The sequence below is a fragment of the Homo sapiens genome, chromosome 18 (genome assembly GCF_000001405.40).
Source record: "Homo sapiens chromosome 18, GRCh38.p14 Primary Assembly".
Lineage (NCBI taxonomy): Eukaryota > Metazoa > Chordata > Mammalia > Primates > Hominidae > Homo > Homo sapiens.
In genome coordinates, this window is record NC_000018.10 from 74,537,529 (window position 1) to 74,564,262 (window position 26,734).

Below are 26,734 nucleotides of genomic sequence, written 5' to 3' on the forward strand. Positions count from 1 at the left end.
TCTTTTACTGTGACACAGATCAAATGCCCATCAACAGCTAGGGTGGATCCCTGGCTGTGGCCCAGGGGGACTGGATGAGGTTTGGGGAGCTGGACCACAGGATGCAGAGGGGGCTCTGTGCTGTGGGCACTCACCCTTTGGATGGGGCACATGCAGTGAGCATGTGTGATGTGCCTCCTCTGTGCTCTAGTGCCCAGGCCCAGTCACTCCGGGCAAAGAGTGGTACCTGGGATATGGACTCTGGGACCAGGAAGCTCCTCTGGGGGGAATGAACCAGGTCATATATCACTACACTTTGTCCACACTCCTTGTTTCTTTCCACATAAAGCGGCATTCTTGTTAAAACCATAGAGTAGAACTTCTAGCTGCTGAAGACAAAAGACAAAGTACAATTTAGACGAAGGTGAGAAGTTACCCATCCATGTACAATTTACTGCCTTTTTCACTAAATCCCATACTCAGGTTTTTGTTTTGTTTTGTTTTCTCTCAAACTTTAGTGTGAGCAGTTTTAGGGTAGAGGCCCAGGAATCTGCACTTTCAAGCCATCATTCAGTGGCTTTTAGTATATTCACTGACATGTGCAACCATCACCACCATCAATTTTAGAACATTTTCCTCACCTCAGAAAGAAACCCATACCCTTTAGCTATGACCCTCCTATTCGCCCCTCCCTCACCTTATCCTTAAACAACTACTAACCTGTTTTCTGTCTCTGTAGATTTCCCTATTCTGGACTTTCATATGAATGGTATACAATATGCAGCCTCTTGTGACTGGCTTCTTTCACTTAATGTAATGTTTTCAAGGTCCATTCATGTCATAGCATATATCAGGACTGCATTCCTTTTCATGGCCAAATAATACTCCATTGTGTGAATATGCCACATTTTGTATTTATCCATTTGTTTGTTGGTGGACATGTGGGTTGTTTCCACCATTCGGCTGTTATGAATAATGCTGCTATAAACATTTGTGTCCCAGTTTTTGTGTGGACATGTATTTTCATTCCTCCAGGGTGTGTACCTGGGAGTGGAATTGCCGGTTGATACAGTAGCTCCGTGGATCAGTGTCTGAGGAACTGCCAGACTGCTTTCCATGCTGGCTGCACCATTTTGCATCCTCACTAGCAGTGTGTGAGGGCTCCAATTTCTCCACATCCTCAAAACACTTGTTATCTGACTTTGTGATTCCCGGCATCCTCTGGGTGGGAAGTGGTGTCTGGTTGTGGTTTGATCTGCATTTCCCAATGCCTAATGATACTGAACATTTTTTCATTCACTTCTTGGCCAAAAGATCTACCATTTTAACCATGACCCTCCACCTCATCCCCGTCAAGGGATTCTGACAGAGAACCTGTCGCCTTTGACAACATTTTCAACTTCGAGTATAAAAAGTCTCCCTAGATTTTTCTTGGCTCTTCCAGGGTGTATCTCTTGCTCCAAGGTTCTGAACCTAAGCCCAGTTCTTATTGAATCTAGGGTTCAGCTTATTTCTAATTAATCAATTCTGCTGTTGGTTTGCACAAGATAGGAGCTGGCATTCTCTCTCAAGCAGCCTGTTAAAGCTAAACAGGGAGAGATTATGGCCGGAAAATACATGGACATTCGCTGCAAACACTGTCTTCCTACAACAAGGTTTCTCCCTCATCTCAAAAAAAAAAAAGCCTTCCCTATCAGCAGGGATTTGACTAAGGAGATCTACACCTGTTTGTTCCCACCAGCTTTTAGTTCTTTATATTAATAGACTCCCAACTTACGACGGAAGGATGCAGGCTTTTCCCAGAGCCTGGATTTCTAAGTAGGCACGTGCTAATTTTCCGCCATCCACTTCTCCTGCACACTGTCTCACGAAGGGTCTGAGGATGCAGGACTGCCAGGTGGGCTCTTTCCCAGCTCCCGGAGGCTTCCTCATCTCTCATCCCCAGTGCCAGCAAATGCCGGAGGGAGCTATCCTGCGCATGAGGCATTCGGATCCTTCCTTGGCCAGCACTGCTCATCCACAGCCAGGGAGTTTCCCCACCTGCAGGATTCCTCCGACCAAACTCCTTGTTAGTGTTGTTGGTGCACATGGGCCCCCAAGCACCACCACCTGCTCCTGAGCAGCAAGTGGTTCCTGGGATCAGTGGCGTTATTGCAAGCGCGGTGGCCATGAGCTCAGGTTGGCCCAGGACACTGCCTGCTTGCCAAGGCTCAGCCTGCCCCTAACCCTGCTCTCTCGTTTTAATGGAAAGTTTCAAACATGCACAAACATAGACAGAAGAGGATAGTGAGTCCCCATGTGCCTATCAGCCAGTTCCAACAATTACCAACATGTGGCCCATCTTGTTTCAAGAGAGCCCCTCCCAGGACCCCCACTCTCAGCATCCAGATAATCCTACAGCAAATTCCAGACATTGCATTATTGCATCTGTAGGTTGTTCAGCACATATCTTGAAGGTGAGCACATGTGTGTATATCAACAATACCATTAACACACTATAAAATAGCAATAATTCCTTTAGATCAACAAATATACAACCTACAACCTGTGGTCAACTTTATCATATTGTCCCATAAAAATAGTTTTACCACTGGTCTTTCGAATCAGAATCTAAATAGGATCTACACTTTACATTTGTGTGGTATAAATCTTTTTTTTTTTTTTTTTTGAGACGGAGTCTGGCTCTGTTGCCCAGGCTAGAGTGCAATGGCGCGATCTCAGCTCACTGCAACCTCCGCTTCCTGGGTTCAAGCGATTCTTCTGCCTCAGACTCCCTTTTAGCTGGGATTGCAGGTGCCCACTGCCACACCCAACTAATTTTTGTATATTTTAATAGAGGCAGGGGTTTCACCATGTTGGCCAGGCTGGTCTCAAACTCCTGACCTCAGGTGATCCACCCGCCTCATCCTCCCAAGGTGTTGGGATTACAGGTGTGAGCCACCACGTCTGAACTCTGCCCTGAATTTCTGATCTGACCTTGAGTGCCTGGAATGGGCACCCTGCCTCAGCCTGGCCCCCTGTATGTGACATAAGAGGGAATGGCAACAGCTCTCTTGGGGAACCTCAGTGAGGATTGGAGGGCAAGTCCAGAAAGGAGAGCCGTGTTTAGATGTGTGGGGGTGTAACCTACTCATCCTGGCTGTGTGATCCCAGGCAGTCTCTTGACCCCTCTAGTGCTTCAGGTCACTTGTCTGTGAAATGCAGCTACAGTAGCTCTGCCTTACTGGATTTTCAGGGTGATTGGCGACGTTGTGGCCATGAGTGCTCGGCTCAGTGCCTGCCCTCCATGCATGTGAAGACGCAATAAAAATGTAAACGTGAACTTACTGCAGATGGTCACCACTTCTGTTAATCAACAAATCACATGATGTGTGGAATCCCTAACTCACTCCAGCACTAGAATCTGAGGAATGCTGCAAACATCAAATTTCAGATCTGGCTTCTAATGAAGTGATGCCGATTTTCTTGTATCACGGGTGGTTTAGCACAGACTGCTATAGACATTAAATGCTAGTTCCAGACACCCACTAGCGGCGTTCTGGGAGAGGCCTGCGAGTTGTTGGGCACTGGAACACACTTTTCTGTGGTTCACACCGGAAACTTGTAGGTTCTGAAAGTGGAGGGGGAAATGGGGCTGCAGTTGGGAGCCATCACCCGCTGGGGGCTCACAGTGAGTGCAGCCTCGGTCATGGGCTCTGCTGACGCACCTGGGGAAGGAGACGGCAGGTGTGCAGAGGCACCGTTTAGCTGCCACAGGAGCTGCCAGGAAAGGCACAGTGATCGGATCCTCCCCTGAGCGTGCACTGTCTAGGGCAGCTGTCCTAGCTTCTCAGCAGGTTGTCATCTGCGGCTCACCAGAGAGAGATGCTGCCCTGGTGACTGCCACTCTGCTGGCTCGGGACCCTGGCAGGTTCAGGAGCTGATGGTATCTGGAGGGTGGGTGGCATTTGTTGGCTGGAGCTGAGAGCCAGCTCCTGGAGGAGTCACAGAAGGAGAAGGGGTGGGTGGGTCCAGCCACCATCCTACTGATCCCAGTGCAGAGCTCCTGCCCAGGAGGAAATATGCACATGCGGTTGGTTTATGGGAGGGAGCCTGGGTGGTCTGTTGCATTGTTGGTCTCACCATCACAGGGCAGGCAGCAGCAAGGCTGGAGCAGGGGACCTGAGCCCTGAGGTCCTCCCCAGCCCCTTCGTCCCAGCCCTAATCAGGAGGTAGGGGCTTTCTGTCCCCAGAGCACCTCTCCTCAGGCCCCACAATGCCCCAGTGTTCCAATTCTCAATTGCTCTTTCAAGCGGTTACAATCCCCCACTTCTTCAGAAGCACTGTGGTTGGGACAAAGGTACCTTTCATGGTACACGTGGCTCAGCTTCCGGCGCCACAGGACATAAAGTTGGGGTGCTGTCCCCTGCTGACCTCAGAAGGAATGGGGCGCATTGTGAAAGGGAGAGAAACAGTGCTAAGACAAGGCACGCACAGATGGAACTCCCCAAAGACTGCAGATGAGGAGGGGTCCCCTGTGCCTTCTAGGACTAGCTCCAGTGCCCTGGGATCCCAGAGTGCATGGCGCTCAGGGAGAAACGCGTTTGCATGTTTCAGTTTCACAGTTTGCCTGGGGCGGTCTTGTTACCCAACTCTGTACCTTGTACTGCAGGCCAGAGGTGTGCGCAGGAGCACTGCCCTGGGGCCATCCCAGAAGCCTTGTCCCTGCTGACAGGGTGAGGTTTGCTTGTTGAGCTCCTGGTGTCAAGGCCTAATTTATTAGTCATTATTAGCCAATTCCTGGAGGTTGAGGTTATCCAGGATACAAACATTTATGCCTTTTAAGGTGCACTGAACAGAGCTTGTGGGCTTTTAAGTGGACCCTTTTTATCTTCACCCGAATCTTGCTCTCCTCCAGTTTGGGAAAGTTTGCACCAGGTAGCGTTCCCAGCACTGAGCCTGGCACTGGGCCAGGCTGTAGGGACATTACGTCCCAGGAAGTGAAATCATTGTAGGGCAGTCCCGATCAAGACACAGTATGAGTTCACCCTTAAAACTCCCCATCCACTTCAAGCAAAGCAATTGCATATACTTCAGGATTTTGTTTGTTTTTTTGTTTTTGAGACAAGATCTCACTCTGTGATCCTCCCACCTCAAACCTCCTGAGTTGCTGGGACTATAGGTATGCACCACCTGGCCTGGCTAAGTTTTAAAATCTGATTTCGCTTATGTAGAGACAGAGTTTCTGTGTTGCCCAGGCTGGTCTTGAACTCCTGGGCTCAAGTGGGCCTCCTACCTTGGCTTCCCAAAATGCTGGGATTACAGGTGTGTGCCACTAGAACACTGTTTGAGAACTGTAAGCCACCAGTTTAAGACCTCGACCTGGAATGGGCATCTTAAAGCACCAGGTGGAGGCAACCATTGCATTTTAGGCAGAACTCATAACAGAGAAGGAGAATAAAATGACTGTCATTCAAGTTGAGGCTGCAAGCCAAAGTTCTGAAGTATGTAAGAAAGACATGCCTTAAGAAAAATAGCTTTTGCAATGTGTTAGGAAATGGGTTTACCAAGACTGACATACAAAGAGTAGAACATGTTTAAAATGGATGCAAACGAAGTATGTTTAAATTCTTCAAGAGACAAATGAAAGACTAACACCCATATTAAAGAATGAGAAAATACAAAACGTAAGCAGGTATCTATGAATCAGGAGCAGACAGGGGCCGGGTGTGGTGGCTCATGCCTGTAATCCCATCACTTTGGGAGGACGAGGCAGGCAGATCACTTGAACCCAGGAGTTTGAGACCAGCCTGGGCAATATGGTGAGACCCCCCTGTTTCTACAAAAAATACAAAAAGTAGCTGGATGTGGTGGCATGCACCTGTAGTCCCAGCTACTTAAGAGGCTGAGGTGGGACAATCACTTGAACCCAGGAGGTTGAGGCAGCAGTGAACGATGATCACACCACTGTACTCCAGCCTGGGCAACAGAGTGAGATCCTGTCTCAAAAAATAAAACAAAACAAAATAAAATAAAATAAAATAAAATAAAATAAAAACAGATGGGTATTAAAATCAACCAATTAGACATCCTGAAAATGTAACTAGTTATTGAAATAACTGAACAGTAAAAATTCTAGACTGGGCACAGTCAAAGTGAGAATTAATGAACTGAAAAATATTACAGAGAATATGCCCAGGAATCAGAGCAGAGAGATAACAAGAAAAAAAGGGAAAAACTAAGAGATCTGGAGGATATATGATAGATCGAAAGACTCCAATGTAGTAGGAGTTCTAGAAGAAAACAGAGGAAATGAGGCCAGGCACTATGGCTCACACCTGTAATACTAGCATTTTGGGAGGCCAAAGAAAGAGGATCAGTTGAGCTCAGGAGTTCCAGACCAGCCTGGGCAACATAGTGGGTCCCCATCTCTAAAAAAAATTTAAAAATCAGTCCACGTATGGTGGCTTGTACCTTTAGTCCCAGCTTCTCAGGAGGCTGAGGCAGGAGGGTGGCTTGAGCCTGGGAGATCCAGGCTGCAGTGAGCTATGATCACCCCACTGCACTCTAGCCTGGGCAACATAGCAAGACCCTGTCTCTACAAAAAGCTTAAAAAATAAGCCGGCTTGGTGTTGCACACCTGTAGTCCCAGCCACTCAGGAGGCACAGACAGAAGAATCACTTGACACTAAGAGTTTGAGTTTGCAGTGAGCAGTGATTATGCCACTACACTCCAGCCTGGGCAACAGAGGGAGACTCTGTCTCAAAAAATAAATACGTAAAAATAAATGTGCATTGGCATCTTATTCTATGATAGACAGTACATAGGCTCTTGGGGCTATGGAAAGAAGAGAAACAAAGTCCTGGCCCCCATGGAGCTTATGTCATGAGAGCCAGACAGATAATTAATAAGTAAACAAATAATAGAATGTTATATAGTGATAAGAAGGCCGGGCACGGTGACTCATGCCTGTAATCCCAGCACTTTGGGAGGCCGAAGCAGGTGGATCACCTGAGGTCAGGAGTTCGAGACCAGCCAGGCCAACATGGTGAAACCCCATCTCTACTAAAAATTCAAAAACTTAGCTGGGCATGCTGGCAGATGCCTGTAATCCCAGCTACTTGGGAGGCTGAGGCAAGAAAAATCACTTGAACCCGGGAGGTGGAGGTTGCAGTGAACCAAGATCATGTCACTGCACTCCAGCTTGGCAGCAGAGCGAGGTTCTGTCTCAAAAAAAAAAAAAAAAAAAAAAAGGATATTATATAGTGGTAAGAAAATAATAACAGGGTGTACTGGGTTAAATAACATTCCTTCAAAAATGCCTGTCCACCTGGAACCTCAGAACGTGGCCTTATTTGGAAACAGGGTTTTTACAGATGTAATTAGTTAAAAAGAGGTCACTCTGGAGTAGAGTGGGCCCTAAATCCAAAACTCAGTGTCCTCCTAAGATGAGAGTACACAGAGAGACACAGAAAGAGGCTGGCTGTGCACACACGGAGGCAGAGACTGGAAGGACACAGTCACAGCAAAGGACTGCTGCCAACACCAGAAGCTGGAGGGGCAGGAAGGACCCTCCCCTAGAGCCTGCAGACGGAGCCCAGCCCTGCCAACACGTGATTTAGGTTTCTGGCCTCTAAAACTGTGGGAGAATAAAGTCCTGGTGTTTGGCCCCCGGTTTGGGATGCTTTGTTCCAGCAGCCTGAGGAAGCTAGTGGAGACCGATGGGAAAGCCCCGCCCTCTCCTCGAATCTGCCTTGTTCTCGACTTTACATTTGTTGGACTTTTGTTCAAAGCCAAAAGGTGGCCTGAGATGCCATCGCCAGAGGTGGCCAAGCCCTGGAGTCCACCCCCGCCTTTAACCGGGGACCTTGGTTCACAGGCACCAAGGACGCCTAAAGCCTGGCACTTTGAAGTCAAAGTAATTTTGCTGTGAGCTGAATGTGTAAGATGACACTTTAAAGGCTGTGTACGTAATTACAGGTTTCTAGAAAAGAAACGTGTTATTTGGTGCTGTCTGCATTTTGGTGTCTCCACCTTGGCCCACGGTCCCACCAAAACCCTGCCAGGCTCTCCTCTCCTGACTCCGTGAGAAATCTCTGCTCTCCTCCTCGCCACCCCTCCTCTGTCCCCAGTCCACGTCTCTCTCAACTCCCCACTCCCTCCGACCCTCCTCCTCCTCTCTGCTGTTCTGCGGCCGGAACATCTTAATTTCACGTGCTGCCCCCTGAGATTGTACAGTCTCCCCTGCAGGTATTCTGTAAATATCCTATCGACACTTTTACACAAAAATCACTCAAATGAGATTTAAAGGAAGAAGAGCCAGTGGCTCTGGTGTGGCCACAGCTACGATATCTCCAAAGGAGAATGTTCGCCTTGGGTTTTGGCTCCAGCGTCAGGCACAGCCTCATGGATCCCTTAGGATTTACACCTCTCACCCCTCAAAACCGAGAGCCATGCCCTGTTTCCCCATTGGAAACACGCTTTTGCCTCCGAGGAACTCAAAGCCCAGCCTTGTCTGATGACACCACTGTCCCTGGTAGAGTATACTTCAATGTATCGATTTAACTGTCACGAGATTCTGGCCTGTTGGAGAAATAACTGAAATCACTGGTTATTTCATTCACTCTTTTTGGTCATTGTTGTTTGACTGGCTCTGTCATTGTGCTACAAGCCACTGTTACGTTTCTAGATGATGGAAGGTTCCGGAAGTAGTGCAAAGTGGTGCTGTGCTGTCTCTCTGGCTGATGTCTGGCGAGGCTCAGATCCCTGTCCAGACTGTGGGGAGTAAAAGTGTCTGAAGGCGCATTGTTCCCGTTACCATCACACCAGCCTCATACCCTGACACTGCGAGCTTTCTCTTCCCCACCGCCTACCCACGAGGACCCCAGACACAGGTGGGAGCACCGAGGGCCCACCCTAGCGGCTTGGTTGCTGGACTAGCTGTCTTCTGCCCAGGAGAGAAGACGCTGTACAGTGCCTTGGGCTGTGACGTGCCAGATGCGGTACTGTCTCGTGCCACCCCCCTTAAGGTGCTTGGTAGGTGCCACATGCCGTATTCTCTCGTGCCACCCCCCTGAGGGCACATAGTAGGTCCCACTGTCCCTGCTTCAGAGCCTGTGTCCTGAGCCAGCCAGTTCCTAAGTGCTAGTGCCTGAGCTCTAGGCCAGCTCTCCCTGCAAACCACGGAAACACCCACCCCGTGACTGGCACTCAATTCCTCAATTCCTCCTCCATCCCCTGGCTTCGGCAGTCTCTGACTTCTTGCAGCTCTGCTCAGCGTTCAAGGAGCAGCTCTGTTAGGATCCTAGCGAACTGGGTAAACTTTGTTAGTATTTCCAGCCATTTCACGTGGTGTGTGGCCTCACATTCTGGGAATGAGTCTAAGCTGAACTTGGCCTCAGGCATTGTTCTTCTCCAGGGTCAAGCTCACAGGTTAGGCTGGACTAGAGGATGATGGAGGGACTCACAGTTCTTGAGACTTTCTGGGGAATTTTGCTCCCTGGAGTTTCTCCAGGATGCTGGCTGAAGGAAACCACGCCCTTGCTGACTCCTCCATGGGGACTTGCCGCCACAGTGAGTTAATCAATCTGCAGGAGCCACGTTGGCTCAGCTCCGTGCCTACAGGAAATCAACAGAATCCAGAAAAACCCATTTTTGTTGTTTGTTTAAAATCCTGTGATGGTGAGATAAGCTAGGCTAATAAAACATTCTTTTCTGTGTTATAACAAATTCATCAGAGCAGACCCAGCACAGAGCAACCTCTATAAAACAATCCCACAAGGACTCTAGACTAGGAGGGCAATAGAATTCTCGGCTTCCAGGATGACTGACGGTCACTGAGGTTTCTTCCCCTGAACAAGGGTCTGGCTGATTGGCCATTGTATGGACACCAAGGACCCACCCTTGGCCTGAGGCTTTGTGGGGGGTGGAGGCAAGAGTGCTTTCTTTCATTTTCTATTCTTTCTTCTGTTCAACACCCAAAATAAACAAAAACAACCAGTGCAGAAGTGGGGTTTTCCCACAGCACCCCTGCTCCATCCTCCTTTAGGGATGCCTGCTCCTTTCCTGGCAGGAGACAGAAGTGTCCTTCATTAAAGTATCCCAGGCCACTGTCAAGACCTCCATCAGCTAAGCCCACAGGGCATGCAACTCTCCAGTTGTTAGCAAGAGCTAGGAGGGAGGTGGAGGCGAAGCCAGTGCCAGTGTCTGCTGGAAGCTCAGGCAGCTGTGGGAGGAGAAAGAGGAGAACAAGATGTCAAGACACTAAGAAGACTCAGGAAGTGCCCCAGGACCTCTCGCTTCGGGGGAAGGACAGGTTGTGATGGTAACACAGCAGAGGATGTAAACCTCCCGCTAAGAGTTACAGTATTTAGAGAAAAGACTCAGCACAGGGGCACTTGGAACTTTTGTTCCAAATCTAAAAATCTAAGAATAACCACCTGGAATAAACACAGGCCTATGCAGCAAGTGGGGTTCCCCTCAGGGTCCCATAGCCAGTGGGAGCTTACCACCCTCAGCTGGGCAACCGCCTACCCCCGCCGAAAAGACTCTCTCAGTCCAGGACTCACCCTGCGCATCCCTAACCCCAGCCCCCGCAAGCGCAACTTCCTGTTCTTCAGCTCCTCTTTCTTCTTTTTGCAAGGTCAAAAGCCAGGAATAACCTTTCGACATCCCTAGATTTTCAATGGGTGATGAGAGTTTGGATCTGTGTCCCTGCCAAATCTCATGTTGAGATGTGATCCCCAATGTTGGAGTTGGGGCTTGGTGGGAGGTGTTTGGGTCATGGGAGTGGGTCCCTCCTGGCTTGGTGCTGTCCTCACAATAGTGAGTGAATTCTTGCAAGATCTGGTTGTTTAAAAGTGTGTGGTGCTTCCTGCTCTTGCTCACATTCTTGCCATGTGAGGAGCCTGCTCTCTCTTCACCTTACACCATGGGTAAAAGCTCCTTGAGGCCTCCCCAGAAGCTGAGCAGATGCCGGCACCATGCTTATACAGCCTTCAGAACCATGAGCCAATTACACCTCTTTTCTTTATAAACTACTCAGCCTCAGGTATTCCTTTATAGCACTGCAAGAACAGCCTAACACAGAAAAGTGGTACTGAGGAGTGGGGCATCGCTATAAAGATACCTGAAAATGTGGAGGCAACTTCGGAACTCAGTAACAGACAGAGGTTGGAAGAGTTTGGAGAGCTCAGAAGAAAACAGGAAGATGAGGGAAAGTTTGCAACTTCTTAGAGACTGGTTAATGGTTGTGACCAAACTGCTGATAGTGATGTGTGCAGTGAAGTCCAGGCTGATGTGGTCTCAGATGGAAAAACTGATTGGGAACTGGAGCAAAGCTCACCCATGTTATGCCTTAGCAAAGAGCTTGGCTGCATTGTGTTCATGCCCTAAGGATCTGTGGAATTTGAACTTAAGAGTGATGACTTAGGGTATCTGGCAGAAGAAATTTCTAAGTAGCAGTGTTCAAGATGTGACCTGGCTGCTTCTAACAACTTATGTTCAGGTGTGGAAGTAAAGAAATGACTTAAAGTTGGAATTTATATTTAACCCTTTTCCTGGTTGCCCCAAGAATACTCACCAGTGGCACTTGTGGCTGCAGCATTTACCCTGAGATAACTTTGCCATGAACTATCTTGCTTTTATTATTATTTTCACATCACTCTAGTATATTGACTTTGGAAACAACAGACATCATTCTATTTATGGCATTCTGGTTTTAGTTAGTGGTATTTCCATTAACAAAATGTAGTAATTTTCAACTGCTGAAAATGTCAAATCCTAGAAAACGTAGCATTCCTACACGTGATGTTAACATTGTTCTTGAACAATTGTGGGTCAAAGATTCATTTAATGAATCTGAAATAGATGTTCTGATGATTCTGATGTTAGTTCTGTTTAGAAAGAACTCCCCGAACAGTTTTTATATTTTATTTTCACATTGAAAATCAGTCAGATTTGCTTCAGCCTCAAAGAGTGAGTTTATATAAAATTAAATGAGCACTGGCAGTGAGCTGCACTTTTTTTTTTTCTAAATGGGAAAAAGATTAAAAGGAAAGCAGAGCATAAAGTTTGGGAAATTTTCAGCCTGGCCATGTGGCAGAGAAAGAAAAATCATTACCAGGAGAGGAATTTGAACAGGTTGCAGAGCAACCACTTGCTAGAGAGACTTGCGTGACTAAAAGGTAGCCAAGTGTTAAAAGCCAAAAAAAATGAGAACAAGGTCTTGATGGCATTTCAGAGACCTTTGAGGAAGCCCCTCTCACCACAGGCCCAGAGGCCTAGGAGGACTAAATGGTTCCATGGGCCAGACCTGGGACAGCACTGCTCTGTACAGCCTCAGAAGGCTCCAGTTGTGGCTCAAAGGGCCCCAGATACAGCTCAGGCCACTGCTTCAGAACATGCAAGCTGTAAGCCTTGGCAGCTTCCACATGGTGTTAAGCCTACAGACACACAGAGTGCAAGAGTAAGGGAGGCTTGCCAGCCTCTACCTAGATTTCAGAGAATGTATGAGAAAGCCTCAGTGCCTAGAAAGAACCTAGAGGTGGAGGGGTGGAGCCCTCACAGAGAGCCTCTACTAGGACAGGTCAAAAGGAAACTATGGGGTTGGAGTCCCCACATAGGGTCCCCACTGGGGCACTACCTAATGAAGCTGTGAGAAGGGGGCCATCATTCTCCAGACCCCAGAATGGTAGATCCACTGGCAGCTTACATCCTAACCTTGGAAAAGCCATAGCGGTGGAGCTTCCCAAGGCCTTGGGAGCCCACCCCTTGCAGCAAAGTGCCCTGGATGTGGGACATGGAGTCAAAGGAGATTATTTTGGAGCTTTAAGATTTAATGACACTCTGCTGGGTTTTACACTTGCATGGGGACTGGAGCCCCTTTCTTTTGACTGATTTCTCCCTTTTGGAGTGGGAACATTTACCCAATGCCTCTACCCTGATTGTATCTTGGAAGTAAATAACTTGTTTTGATTTTACAGGCTCATAGGTGAGAGGAACTCATCTCCAGATGAGATTTTGGACTTGGGAGTTTGGAGCTAATGCTGGAATGAGTGAAGGCTGGGGGACTATTGGAAAGGCATTATTGAATTTTTTTTTTTTTTTTTGAGACAGTCTTGCTCTGTCACCCAGGCTGGAGTGCAGTGGTGTGATCTCGGCTCACTACAAGCTCTGCCTCCTGGGTTCATGCCATTCTCTTGCCTCAGCCTCTCAAGTAGCTGGGACTACAGGCACCTGCCACCACGCCCGACTATTTTTTTTTTTTGTTTTTTGTTTTTTGTTTTGTATTTTTAGTAGAGACGGGGTTTCACCATGTTAGCCAGGATGGTCTCGATCTCCTGACCTCATGATCCTCCTGCTTCAGCCTCCCAAAGTGCTGGGATTACAGACGTGAGCCACCATGCCCAGCCCATTATTGTATTTTGCAATGTGAGAAAGACATGAGATTTGAGGGGCCAGTGACAGAATGATACAGTTTGGATACGTGTCCCCGCCTAACTCTCATGTCGAAATGTAATCCTCAATGTTGGAGGTGGAGTCTGGCGGGAGGTATTTAGGTGCTGTCCTTGCAATAGTGAGTTTATGCAAGACTGGTTGTTTAAAGTGTGTGGCACCTCCCCGATCCCTCTTGCGCCTGCTCTGGCCACATGACCTGCCTGTTCCTGCTTCACCTTCTGCCATGAGTAAAAGTTCCTTGAGACCTCCTCACAAGGTGAGCTGATGCTGGCACCATGCTTCCTGTACAGCCTGCAGAACTGTGAGCCAATTAACCCTATTTTTTTTTAATAAATTACCCCACCACAGGCATTTCTTTATAGCAATACAAGAATAGCCTAATACAGATAACTAGTTCAAGGTCAAGCACAACTGTAACACACACACACACACACACACACACACACACAAACAAAAACAGAGGCATGGAGGAACAGGAGAAAAATGGATGGAGTCTCAGATCCCACTCAGATGGTGAAGGCGGGATTCATGTCCAAAGTCAATGTCCATGAACCTGGACAGCAAATTGACTATAGCAGGCTGCCCTGCTCTGTGGGGAAAAGGGAGGGAGAGGAGGAAATTCATTAAGGGAGGGAAGATGAAGTCGTGCACTTCCCCTTGTCAGACCCCTGCTGTCAGGGCCACTGTCAGGTCAGGGCATCAGGTCAGTCTTTTATTCGAGACCAGGGCTAAGCTGCTCTCCCCAGGCCAGAGGAGGAGGAGATTCCTGCTGAATCTGAACTATTCTCTCCTAACAACAATCATTGTTTTCATATTTTTTTCCTGCAGCTTATTTCCTTCTTCCAACTGTCCTTTTTTATTTTTCACTGTAGAGGAACACCAAATAATTTTTTTAATGGAACTTGTCTGAAGGAAAAATAAAAGCTCAAATGTTAATGTAGATGGATCAATTGGATCGATTGCGAAAAAAAAAAACAAAAAAAAAACCAGTAGCCACTGTTGTCTCCAAGAGCCTTTATTGAAGCCTTCCTCACACCTGAGCTCCCTCTCCGGCTACTGGAGGGCCAGAGGAGTCTCTCCCACTGGCTTCATCTGCCGCCCCTGGCTCCTGGCTAAGTCCCACAGAGCTGGGCTGGATCTGGCTTCAGCCTTCTGAGTGCAGGGTAGCCAGGGAGTTCATGAGTGGCTCATCAGCACCACCTACTGGACGCAGTTCTTACCTTGACCTTGCTTTTAACCACTGTATAGCTTCCTCTATCTACAGTTCTCATATTCAATAATATATTTGTATTGTCAAATGAGTAGTTATAGCTATGATTATTTTTAAAATGACTGTATTGTGATATAATTCTTATACCTTACAACTGGCCCATTTAAAGTGTGTAATTTTAATGGCTTTTAGTTTATTCAGAATTGTACAACCATTGCCACAATTGGTTTTATAACATTTTCATCACCCCAAATTCATTAGCACTCCCTTCCTATTTTCCCACTGGGTAACCACCAATCTACTTTCTGTCTCTATGAAGTTACCTACTCTAGACTGTTACGTAAATGGAATCACAATACATGGCCGTTGTGTCTGGTTTATTTCACTTAGCACAATGTGTTCAAAGTTTGTCTACACTGTAGCATGTACCAGTACTTCATTCCTTTTTATGTAAGATAAAAATCATTTTGTATAGCCAAATAATATTTCAGTGAAATATACCACATTTTATTTATCCATTCATTCATTAATGAACATTTGTCTTGTTTCTGCCTTTTGGCTACTATGAATAATGCCGCTATAAACATCCACTTACCAGTTTTTGTGTGAACATATGTTTTCACTTGTCTTGGATATGTACTCAGGAATAGAATTGCTGGGTCATATGGTGACTCTATGTTTAATTGATCAAGGAACTTTCCGACTGTTTTCCACAGTGGCTGTAGGCTTTTGCGTTCCCATCAGCAGTACATGAAGTTTCCAATTTCTCTACATCTTTGTCAAAACTCATTAGTGTCTGGCTTTTTAATTCTAGCCATCATAGAGGGTAGGAAGTTGTGTCTCATGTAGTTTGATTTGTGTTTTCCTGATGGCTAATCATGCTGAGCCTAAACTTTCCATGTGTTTATTGGCCATTTGCATATTTTCTTTGAGGAAATGTTTATTCAAATCCTTTGCACATTTTTAATTGGGCTGTCTTTTATTATTGAACTGTAATTGTCATTTATAGTCTCAACATAAGTCCTTTATCAGATATATGATTTGCAATCCCTCCCCCCACATTCTACGTGTTGTCTTTTCATTTTCTTGATGGTGTTCTTTGGTGCACAAATGTTTTTATTTTTGATGAAGTCCAATTTATCGATCCTGTCTTTTGGTGTCATATCTAAGAAACCATCACCTCATCCAAAGGTAGGAAGATTTACAGCTATTTTTTTTTAAGAGTTGTATGGTTTTAGTACTTTCATTTAGGTCTTTGATCATTTTGGGTTAGTTCTTATATATGGTGTGAGGAAGGGGGTGAAACTTTATCATTTGCTTGTGGATATCCTATTCTGCCAGCACTATTTATTGAAAAGACTGTTTTCCCCCATTGAATGATCTCCGCACCCTCGATGAAAATCAGTTGATCATAAATGTGAGGATTTATTTCTGGATTTTCGGTTCTATCCAATTGATATGTATGTGTGTCCTTAAGCCAGTTCACTCTCCAGAATATTTATAACTATTCTTAAACTTCACAATTTCCTCTCGATTATTATCCAGCAAAATTCAGACCCTTATTAGAACGTTTTGATACATTCTCCTACTTCAAAATGAGGAAACTTCCAGAGGTTAAAACTTCTGCCCTGAATGCCTGCCCTTCTCCAAGCTTACCCTTCCTTCCCATCAGTGTTCAGCACCAGTTTCCTCCAAGATGCTGCTGTTGACCATCCCCACCCCATGATGGGACATGGTCTGCGTTTCATGGCACATCTTACTGCTTTCCTGACAGCTGGTGAGCTCTCTGTCCTCTCAGAGCCACACATTTTTCTATAGCTCTTTGGTTGGGTCCTCGGCCACTGTGAGGCTCCCAGTCCCTGATGACAGCTGAGGAAATTCAGGCTCAGAGAGGTACCCGAAGGAGTACAGCTGGGATCTGGCAGGGCTGAACTTGGTGTTGGCCCTCCTGACTATTAGGCCTGTGGTCTCCCCGTGATGCCACCCCGACTGCACTGCTTTATCCACATGCCCTCTTCCAGCATTGACTCTCACTCTGCCACTTTGTTTTGTGAACACAGGTTCTCTGTGGTCACTCAGATTTTATGCCAGCTGAATCCTAGCTGAAAAGTTCTTGAAGCCTGAACATCCCTGTAGCATTTCAGTGCTGATCTGACAGAAGGTAGAACAGCCTGGGAGTGGCTTTCCTTTTGGGCATGGGATGGATTGACCCCAGGTGCTGAGTGACACTCTGGTTAGGGAGATGCACTCTTTATTGCCGTCTGGGACATTTTCAGTAGGACCAGATGTTTTGTTGGAAGTGAATTCCTAGAAGAGACAGAACACAGCTCCCTGTGCACAAATTCATTTCAGATGCACTGTGCAATGTGTTGGGGGGCTCGTCAGTTTGGATGCTCCCCAGCTCACCTTCACTCTATGGGGGCTTGAGGCCAAGGGATGGGCAGGAGCATGGAGGAAGATTCAGCAATGCATTTGGGAACACATGGGAAGTGATGGAGGGGCCCTGCATGGTACCCCAACAAGGGAGGAGGTCTGGTGGGAGAAGCAGGTGGGCTCCACCATGTAAGACCTGGGAGCCATGGGGATATTTGCTTTACCCCAAGGGCAATGGGACCTCTTGGAAGAGTTAAAACAGGGAGTCTTGCGATCTGCCCCACCTTTAAAAAGATCACCCAGGCTGCTTTGTGGAGGGTGGATTAGAGGAAGCCATGAAAATGACAGAATGAAAAGTGAAATATTCAACCAACTGCTTTTCAAACAGCCTTGCAGATGCTCCATTGTAAAATAAGCAACATCGGCGGGGCCACACCCATGATGAGCGTCCTCTCAAGGATGCTCTTGAGCACATCTCTCTCTCAAGGTCTCGGGGATGGCACTGAGACTTCACCAGCCTAGTTCCCCTTGTTCTCCCCGCAACCCCTGCTCACCTCCACCTACGGAAAGGTGGGCATTTGAAGAATCATAGATTAAACAAGTCAGAATTTGATAACGTAAAACATCTCAAACATTTAAAACAATAAAAGATGGGATTCCAGAGACAAAAATAACAGAGACAGGCTGGGTTAAACTCTCCCCTCCTTCCTCCTGCTGCAGGAGGGTGGGTTTGGCTTCTAAAGTGGAGCCCAGCTGGTCTCCTGGGGATAGCTGGTGGCTTTCCTAGCCAAGAACCTGACGTAGGCGGTCTGACCAAGGGCTGCAGCCCCCTTGGCCCTTCCCAGCCCTCGCTCCCTCCCTCCTCTTCTCCAGCCCGCCTCTGATGGCTCGGGCTGCACTGGGGGAGATGTTGCTGATGGCCCCTCCAGATGTGCAGGTGGCCCCTGGGTCTGATGCTGGCAGCTCCCACTCCAGACAGGGCTCTGGGGGGCCTCTGTGAAGGGGTGACCTTGCCCACTTTGCCACAGGACCTTCCTGTCAGGGGTCAAGGAGGAATGCTGGCTCTTAGGCTCCCAAGGACACCCAGGTGGAGTCATCCCAGAGGTGGACGGGCTGGGGAGACTGAGAAGGGGTCAGGGAGGGGAGAGGAGGGAGGAGACAGGGTTGTGGTTGGGTCTCTCAGAGATGGGGTTGCACCATGTTGGCCAGGCTGGTCTTCAACTCCTGACCTCAAGTGATCCGCCCACCTCGACCTCCCAAAGTACTGGGATTACAGGCATGAACCACCACCTCAGACGTTTTTCTTCCTTTCCTGTTAAAGTACTGTGATTTCAGGAGCCAGTGGAAAGAAACCCCACAACACTGGATTTTAGGCATTGCTCAGAAATTCTTTTGTCTAATAGAGCAGTTCATCACACATGGAAGATTTTTGCGTGTTTGTTTTTGGTTCTACCTTACTCTTTTCTCTCTTGTAAAGATCACCCTTCACTCCTGGGCAGCAGAACTGGGCCTCCCCAAGGGGCCAGGAGGAAACACCTTATCCTAGGAATAAACGGAATGATGTTATTTAAAGATGAGCTTGTTAACTTGGTTTTTGTCTTATTAAAATTCTTTAGCATTGGAAATAAAGTGTTTGGGGAAGGACGTAGCAAAAAATACATGTTTGGTTCTACCGCCTTGTGTTATTTTATTCCGACTGACTGGAGGCAGCTGTGTGAGGTAACAGACCTTCTTGAGGAATTTGGAAGGTCCGAAGTCCAGCAACTGGCATTGATTTTCATTCGTTCCTCCCATGTCAAACCCTTCCAGGCTGCGTCCCTGCTGGCTGTGCTGCTGCTGCTGCTGGAGCGCGGCATGTTCTCCTCACCCTCCCCGCCCCCGGCGCTGTTAGAGAAAGTCTTCCAGTACATTGACCTCCATCAGGATGAATTTGTGCAGGTAGGAGAAAGAAACTACACAACTACACACAGAATGCTTGGATTATATCCTTTGGTATTTGGGTGAGACAATTATTTGCTTGGAGATGTGGATTTTTTTGCCTAATTCCATTTAAAATGCCTATGACTGCTCATTGGGTTAAAAATCTTCAGTATTCATTAGACAGATGGACGAGATCCCTCCTAGCCATTCCTCCTGTAAAGGGCACTGGGTCTTCATATCCAGCACACTTGGTCCAGGGATGTCCACACAGAGATGACCAGCACCTCCGCTGAGCTCAAGTCTGCCCTGGTCCATCAGGTCGCCCATTCCTAATGCCACCTGACGTTATTGTAAGGCCTGGGCAGAGCTGGGGAGCCAGGGAGCTCTGCAAAGTTCAACAGCAGCGTTGTTTGTTTTGTAGCATGTGTGCAACAGGCACTTTATCTCCTTCATTCATTCATTCATTCAATTTATTTATTTGTTTTGAGACAGAGTCTCGCTCTGTCACCCAGGCTTGAGTGCAGTGGTGAGACCTCGGCTAACCTCAACTTCCCAGGTTCAGGTGATTCTCCTGCCTCAGCCTCAGCCTCCCAAGTAGCTGGGATTACAGGCACCTGCCAACACACCTGGCTAATTTTTGTATTTTTTCAGTAGAGACGGGATTTCCCCATGATGGGCAGGCTGATTTTGAACTCCTGACCTCAAGTGATCTTCCTGCCTCGGCCTCCCAAAGTGCTGGGATTGCAGGTGTGAGCCACCATGCCTGGCCCTCTTTTTTTCTGTTATTTTTTGAGACAGGGTCTTGCTCTGTCACCCAGGCTGGAGTGCAGTGGCACAAACACAGCTCACTGCGGCCTCGACCTCCTGGGTTCAAGTGATCCTTCTGCCTCAGCCTCCCAAGTTTATAATCCTCTGCTTTACCCCTAATTCACTATACAGGGTCTATACATATACAGGTTGGGAGTGGGGGTAAAGTAGAGGGAGGATGAGGAGGAATGGCAAAAAGAGGGAGGCCTGGGGAGCAGGAGGAGACAGGAGGAGGCATGGGAGAGCAGGAGCTTGCCGGAGCCCACAGACTCACCAGCTCCTCCCCACCCCCACTCTCCTAGGCTCTCTTGTCCCCTCTGTGGCCATCCGGTCCCATCCCTACACACCCCCATATATGTATCCCCACACACCCCCACACATGTGCACACTGATGTGTTGTTGTCTGTGTTCACCAGACGGGGAGCTCCTTGAGGTCTCCCTGGACTTTGTACCCCAAGCCCCCCACATCATGTCTGGCACAGGACAGGCATTCAGTATACATTTATTGGATCAATCAACCAATTTTGGGAATATTATGCAATTAGGCTAAAGGCACGAGGCTGAATGCCCAGCCTACTGTTCCTAAATCTGACCTTCATGCAATCCTTCTTCTTACTGAAATATTAACTAGGCATCAATGCCTCTTGGATTTTTGAAACCTGAGTGGGGTTTCCAGAATCAGTGTGTGGTGGGGATTTAATCCTGGTTTAGGCCTTTCAGCCAAAACATCTCTTCCTAAGTCCCTCAAACATACCCAAATCCACTGAACTTATGGAGAAGCCAGCAGTCTCTGCTCTGTAAATTCCAGTTTAAAAATGTCAAACACAATATTCCTAAGGGTTAGATAAATGCCTTCATAATAAAAATAAAAGCTCTACAACCAGAATAGAGAGATCAAACTCAAATAAGTCAGGAAGAGAAGTCCAAGATCAGTAAATCTGTGTAGTTTTTCATAAAAATGCTGATTGTCTCAGTATGAGCCACTCAGGTTCCAACACAGGCATGTGAGTGGTTCTTATCAGTCATTCATACCAGCCAGCGCTGCTGGAGTGGCTGCCAGGTGCTGGGCACTGTGCACACGTTACCTCAGTGGTCCTCACCATCACCCTATAGTTAGGGAGCATTACTTTCTTTTTCTTTTTTTTTTTTTTTTTTTTGAGATGGAGTCTTGCTCTGTCACCCAGACTGGAGTGCAGTGGCACGATCTTGGCACACTGCAAGCTCCGCCTCCCAGGTTCACGCCATTCTCCTGCCTCAGCCTCCCAAGTAGCTGGGACTACAGGCGCCCACCACCACACCTGGCTAATTTTTTGTGTTTTTAGTAGAGATGGGGTTTCACCACGTTAGCCAGGATGGTCTGGATCTGCTGACCTCGTGATCTGCCCACCTGTGCCTCCCAAAGTGCTGGGATTACAGGTGTGAGCCACCGCACCCGGCTGGGAGCATTACTTTCTCATGCAGATGAGAAAACTCAGGCTAAGGGAGGTTAAGGAATACATCCAAAGTCACATAGCTATGACAGGCTGAGTTTAAGCCCGAGGTCACAGTGCCTGTGGGATCCTAGAGGCACAGGGAGGGGCAGGCCAGGGAATCTAAATGCAGAGCATGTTAGGAGGGACCTGCAGCCCAGCAGAGGCCCCTGTGGGGTTCAGTCACGGCTTGGAGGCTTCCAGGACCAGGTGTGGGAAGCCAGGAGTCCTGGAGAAAGCTGAGAACCCACCAGCTCCTCAGTTCTTAATAATTAGAAACAGTGGGTGGGGACTTGCCCTCCTGTACAGCCCTGGTGAACGCAGTGAGGACCCAGACCATCACCTTTCTCCCAGCCCGTCCTGCCTGACCTTCTATACTAACCAGGCGCCTCTGGCTTCTGGGTTCCTGATTAAATCCCCAGCTCTTCTGTCTGTTACTCTTAAATGTCACAGTGTTCACTGGCACTGTCATAGGTCCTCAGGTCCTTGATCAACAGAAAAGTACCTGGGGACTCGCTGTCTCCTGCCCTCCCTTCGCTCCCCCCGCAGAGCAGATGTGGGACCCCAATGCTAATGGCCTGCTTGCTCTTCCTCCTAGACGCTGAAGGAGTGGGTGGCCATCGAGAGCGACTCTGTCCAGCCTGTGCCTCGCTTCAGACAAGAGCTCTTCAGAATGATGGCCGTGGCTGCGGACACGCTGCAGCGCCTGGGGGCCCGTGTGGCCTCGGTGGACATGGGTCCTCAGCAGGTGCTGTACGATTCCCTCCCACTGAGGGAGGTGCTACTTCTAGACGTCAGTCATGCCTTCCCGGGGGTGGCAAGGGAGAGGCTCACCCTGATCCTCAACCACAACCCCCCATAACCCCAATTCCCAATGAAGATGAAACATTCCCCTGGTCTCAAATGAAGCCGTGTTATTGCTTTCCAGTCTTGTCAGGACTCTGGGGAGGGGTTGGCTCTTAGAAGCCAGTGCAGATGACAAGTGAAGGTCACCTTATCATGGAAAGGACCCCCTTGTACTTTTCATTTCCTGGACACAAAGTTCAAATTTCTCCTTTAAGGAAAAGGAAATTGTCCTTTTCTTTAAATTCATATGCATCTTTCTCAAAGGGGTTGTATCTGGAGCTGCATTTTTTTCATCAGAACCATCTCTTAGAACTCTACTCCATCATGAATGTCTTAAATCTAAGCACCCGCTGCGCTTACTTTAGCACTGAGGAACCTCAGGATCATCCATGTTTTCTAGGATTTGTCCACCTAATTTAAGCCAGTTGTCATCTGCATTCTTTTTTTTTTTTTTTTTGAGACAGAGTCTTGCTCTGTAGCCCAGGCTGGAGTGCAGTGGTGCAATCTCAGCTCACTGCAACCTCCGCCTCCCAGGTCCCAGTTCAAGCAATTCTCCTGCCTCAGCCTCCCGAGTAGCTGGGATTTCAGGCGTGCACCACCACACCCAGCTAATCTTTGTATTTTTATTAGACACAGGGTTTCACCATATTGGCCAGGCTGGTCTTCAACTCCTGACCTCGTGATCCACCCGCCTTGGCTTCCCAAAGTGCTGGGATTACAGGCATGAGCCACCGTGCCCGGCCCGTCTGCATTCTTGCTGAAGAGGACATTCAGCTAATGATGCTAATTGTCAGTGTGGATCTAAAGAAGCACTTTACTTTTGATTAGGTTTTATATCTTAATTAAAAGTGTCTTGGCTGGGTGTGGCATCTCACACTTGAAATCCTAGCACTTTAGGAGGCTAAGGCGGGCGGATTAGTTGAGCCTGCCCAGCTGGTCAGCCTGGGCAACATGGCAAACCTATCTCTACCAAAAATACAAAAAGGTAGCCGGACATGGTGGTGCACGTCTGTAGTCTCAGCTACTTATGAGGAGGCTGAGATGGGAGAATCACTTGAGCCTGGGAGTGTGCCACTGCGCTCCAGCCTGGGCGACAGGAGTGAGACCTGTCTCCAAAAGAAAAGAAAAAAGAAAAAAAAAGTGTTTCATGGGACTCATTTTAGAGATGGAGAAACTGATGCTCAGTTTCTCCCAATGTCAAACAAGACTCCCAATGTCATGTCTTTGAATTTTCTGGAAGAACAACACAGCATTTTTGAAAATGTGATTCCTGATCATTCTGCAGCTGCCCGATGGTCAGAGTCTTCCAATACCTCCCGTCATCCTGGCCGAACTGGGGAGCGATCCCACGAAAGGCACCGTGTGCTTCTACGGCCACTTGGACGTGCAGCCTGCTGACCGGGGCGATGGGTGGCTCACGGACCCCTATGTGCTGACGGAGGTAGACGGTCAGTGAGGCGCCCGGGCTACAGTGCGGTGCTGCTGTGCTTGCAAGATTGAAGGGGTGAAGATGAGGCTCTGTCCCTGGGTTTTGGGTCTCTCCCTGTCATTAAGAATGCATAGGCCGGGTGCGGTGGCTCACGCTTGTAATCCCAGCACTTTGGGAAGCCAAGGTGGGTGGATCATTTGAGATCAGGAGTTCAAGACCAGCCTGGCCAACATGGCAAAACCCTCTCTCTACTAAAAATACAAAAAAATAGCTGGGCATGGTCGTGGGCGCCTGTAATCCCAGCTACTTGGGAGACCAAGGCAGAATTGCTTGAACCTGGGAGGCGGAGGTTGCAGTGAGCTGAGATCACACCACTGCACTCCATTCTGCTTGGGTGACGGAGTGAGACTTCATCAAAAAAAAAAAAAAAAGAATGCACAGAGAGGCGGCTCTCAAAGTCTACCGATCGGTTCACTGAGGCTGGTTTTCTTTCATTTGTGAAAAAAACGGTAAACTTTTGTGTCCCTGGATGGAGGTTCTTGAGTTGTGAGGAAAACAGTTGTCTAGGCCACACACTTTCGTTTTGAACAGTATCAAATGTAATTCGCCTTTTATAAAGAAAAAGAAGAAAGGTTAATAGAGATATACACACATCTTTTTTTCATTCTTCTACTAACTGTAAAATCCCCAAATGAGAGGCTATGCCACGTGGCACTCTGCAACAAATCCCCGGTGGGTCTCTCCGGTGAACTTGGATAAAATAGCTAATTATTATTAAGGACAATGGGATCTGTATTGCAAATTAGCTTATCTTATCTGACTAGCTGATGACTGTACTATTTGTCAGGGAAGAGATCCAAGGATCTCTTATGTACAGTCTTATTTGTACATAAGAAATCATACTTTGCAATTTCATGCAAGATTTGAGCCTGCAATATTATTATAGAAAGCACTGTTAACATCAGTACCCATGAAACGACATTGGTTTTTAACTCACATGGCAGAGGTGTCCACACTTCTCTGAACATTCTTCTCCCCTTTTTAAAGGGAAACTTTATGGACGAGGAGCGACCGACAACAAAGGCCCTGTCTTGGCTTGGATCAATGCTGTGAGCGCCTTCAGAGCCCTGGAGCAAGTAGGTGGCAGCTGTGTTTGGGAGAGAGGAGGAGGAGGATGGTAACGACAACTTTCTTTGAGTTGTTTGCTGTGTTCTGAGCAAACTGCCTTAGGTCACTTACTCGCCCCAACAATCTTTGGAGGTGTGTGCGACAATGGTATCCATTTTGCAGATAAGGACAGTAAGTCTTGGGAAGGTCAGAGAACTTACCCAGAGCAGTGAAGCTGGTGGCAAGGCTGATACTTCGAGGATGGATTCCAGCCTGCACTGTTAACCATGTTAAAAAACAAGACACAGCCAAAGACACAACAAGCCTGTGGCCAAGCTGCTATCTGATGGGACTGGTCTTTTTTTCTTTAATCCTTATTTTATCTTATCTTGTCTTTTTAAGCCTTCTTTTTCTTCTTATCACAAAGTATGATTTGTTAGTAGAGACACACACACATTTTTAAAATGTATCAGCTACTTTGCAAATGATCAAGATAGGAATCTCCATGACATTCTGCAGGAATCCTTGGATCTCTTCCCTGAGAGCACAGTGGCTCTCTTTAGAAGTCCAAATAAGGGCTCTGGAGCAGAGGCAGGGGTACATATTTGAGGAGGTGGGTCCCCTCTTTCCGGCCTCCAGAGGACATTGTTGGTGGACCCAGGTTTGCACCTTTAACTCTCTCGTGTTTCAACACAAGGATGGTTTTATCTCAAGCCACTCTTCTCCCCTCTCCTGATGAATGTGCTTAGACACCAGCAGAGGATTGGATCTAGCTGTGTGGCCTTGGGCAAGCAACTTGACCTCTCTGGGCCTCGGAATCTGTTCTGTGAAAATGTGTGCACTCCTCCAGGTCAGCCCTGGGGTCTGGTTTCATCTCCCCTGTCCTGGACGCCGCCTCAGCCCTGTCCAAGGCTGCAAGGCTCTGAGGGCTGAGGGGCCTCCCTGGCACCCTGTCCTGCAGAGCAGACCTGGGCTTCTGGGGTGTCTTTTCCTGAAGGTTATTTCATCAGGTGCCAGGGGCTTCCCTCTCAGAAGTTTATTTTCTCCTGAGACATAAGCAGATGGGAGGGGAGTTAAGTACTCTGACTTCACTCCTGAGTCTCACAGAAGACACCTCAGGAAATCAGCACAGGTCTCAGCGGGCTCCTGCTGACCACTGCAAAGGTGTCTTCTTATCCCTGAAGCTCGCATCACATACGCCCTGAGCATTCGATGTGGCCTTGGTTTCTATCTCTGTCTCCCTCTCTCCTTTCTTTCTCTCTCCCTCTCCTTCTCTTTCTTCCTCTATCTCTCCTTCTAAGGGATAGCAATATTTATAAGATTGTTCTGATAAAAAGGCCAAAATCTGTTTTGCTTTTTAAATTTCAACTCTGAAAATTACATAATCACAAAGAAAACAGAAGAAATATTCACTGCCCTGGACAAGTCAGTTAATCTCTGAGCCTGACTTGCCTCATCTGTGAAGCAGGAATGATAGTTTCTACCTCACAAGCTCGCAGGGATTCAGTGAAGAAACATCTCCATGGGGGATGGTGCGCGAGGTCCTTCGAGAGTGTTCCTTTCTTCCTCCCTCCCTCCCTTCTTCTCTGCCTGCCTTGCCTACAGAGCTCTTAGGACACATTCCCTCCCTGGGTTATTTTCTAGGAGGCAGAGTGAGCACTAATATCCATATTTCACAGGTAGAGCAGTAAACTGCCAAGGGGAGGCTTGGCAGACCCAGCTGCTAATGCATGCGGCCTGCACACTGAGTGCTATGGGTTTGTATTTTATTAAACATGACTTGCCAGAAAATTCTTAGGATTTCCAACTACTCCTCAGCAATTGTTTGCTAGTTCAATGTTCACACAGAACCTTCAGATATTAAGATTTCAGAACTTCAGATGGACTTCCTAAGACACACAGAAACACAAGGGATAACATAGGAACAAATTACTATCCCCCAAAAGCTCTTATCCAACTGAATGACTGATTTTCTAATTTTCTCATTTTAATTACCACATAACTTATTATTCTCTCATACATAATCCCGTGCTCATGTTGCATTTGTTAATCTGTGGTGAGTCAAGCCCACTTATTAGAACTGATTACAGTGTGTGCGGTGTCGTTTATCTGCTTGTAATCACTTTTAGAGTTCTGCATGCATCCTGTGCTCTAGG

At 47.6% G+C, this 26,734-nt stretch overlaps 1 protein-coding gene across 1 annotated transcript in view, besides 1 other annotated feature; it reads left to right on the forward strand.

Annotated features, from left to right (window-relative positions):
- CNDP1 (carnosine dipeptidase 1) overlaps positions 1 to 26,734 on the forward strand; it is a 52,713-nt gene that overhangs the window by 3,029 nt on the left and 22,950 nt on the right. The window contains exons 2-5 of the mRNA NM_032649.6: positions 18,810 to 18,938; positions 21,795 to 21,944; positions 23,328 to 23,490; positions 24,519 to 24,607. Of these exons, the coding sequence (NP_116038.4) occupies positions 18,810 to 18,938; positions 21,795 to 21,944; positions 23,328 to 23,490; positions 24,519 to 24,607 (531 nt within the window). The remainder of the gene's footprint in view (positions 1 to 18,809; positions 18,939 to 21,794; positions 21,945 to 23,327; positions 23,491 to 24,518; positions 24,608 to 26,734) is intronic.
- Positions 3,355 to 3,855: an enhancer, noted in NCBI's record as "H3K4me1 hESC enhancer chr18:72208118-72208618 (GRCh37/hg19 assembly coordinates)". NCBI's record gives its function as "activates a minimal SCP1, AML or CMV promoter by ChIP-STARR-seq in primed H9 embryonic stem cells {active_cell/tissue: H9 hESC(primed)}" and the evidence as "EXISTENCE:reporter gene assay evidence [ECO:0000049][PMID:30033119]".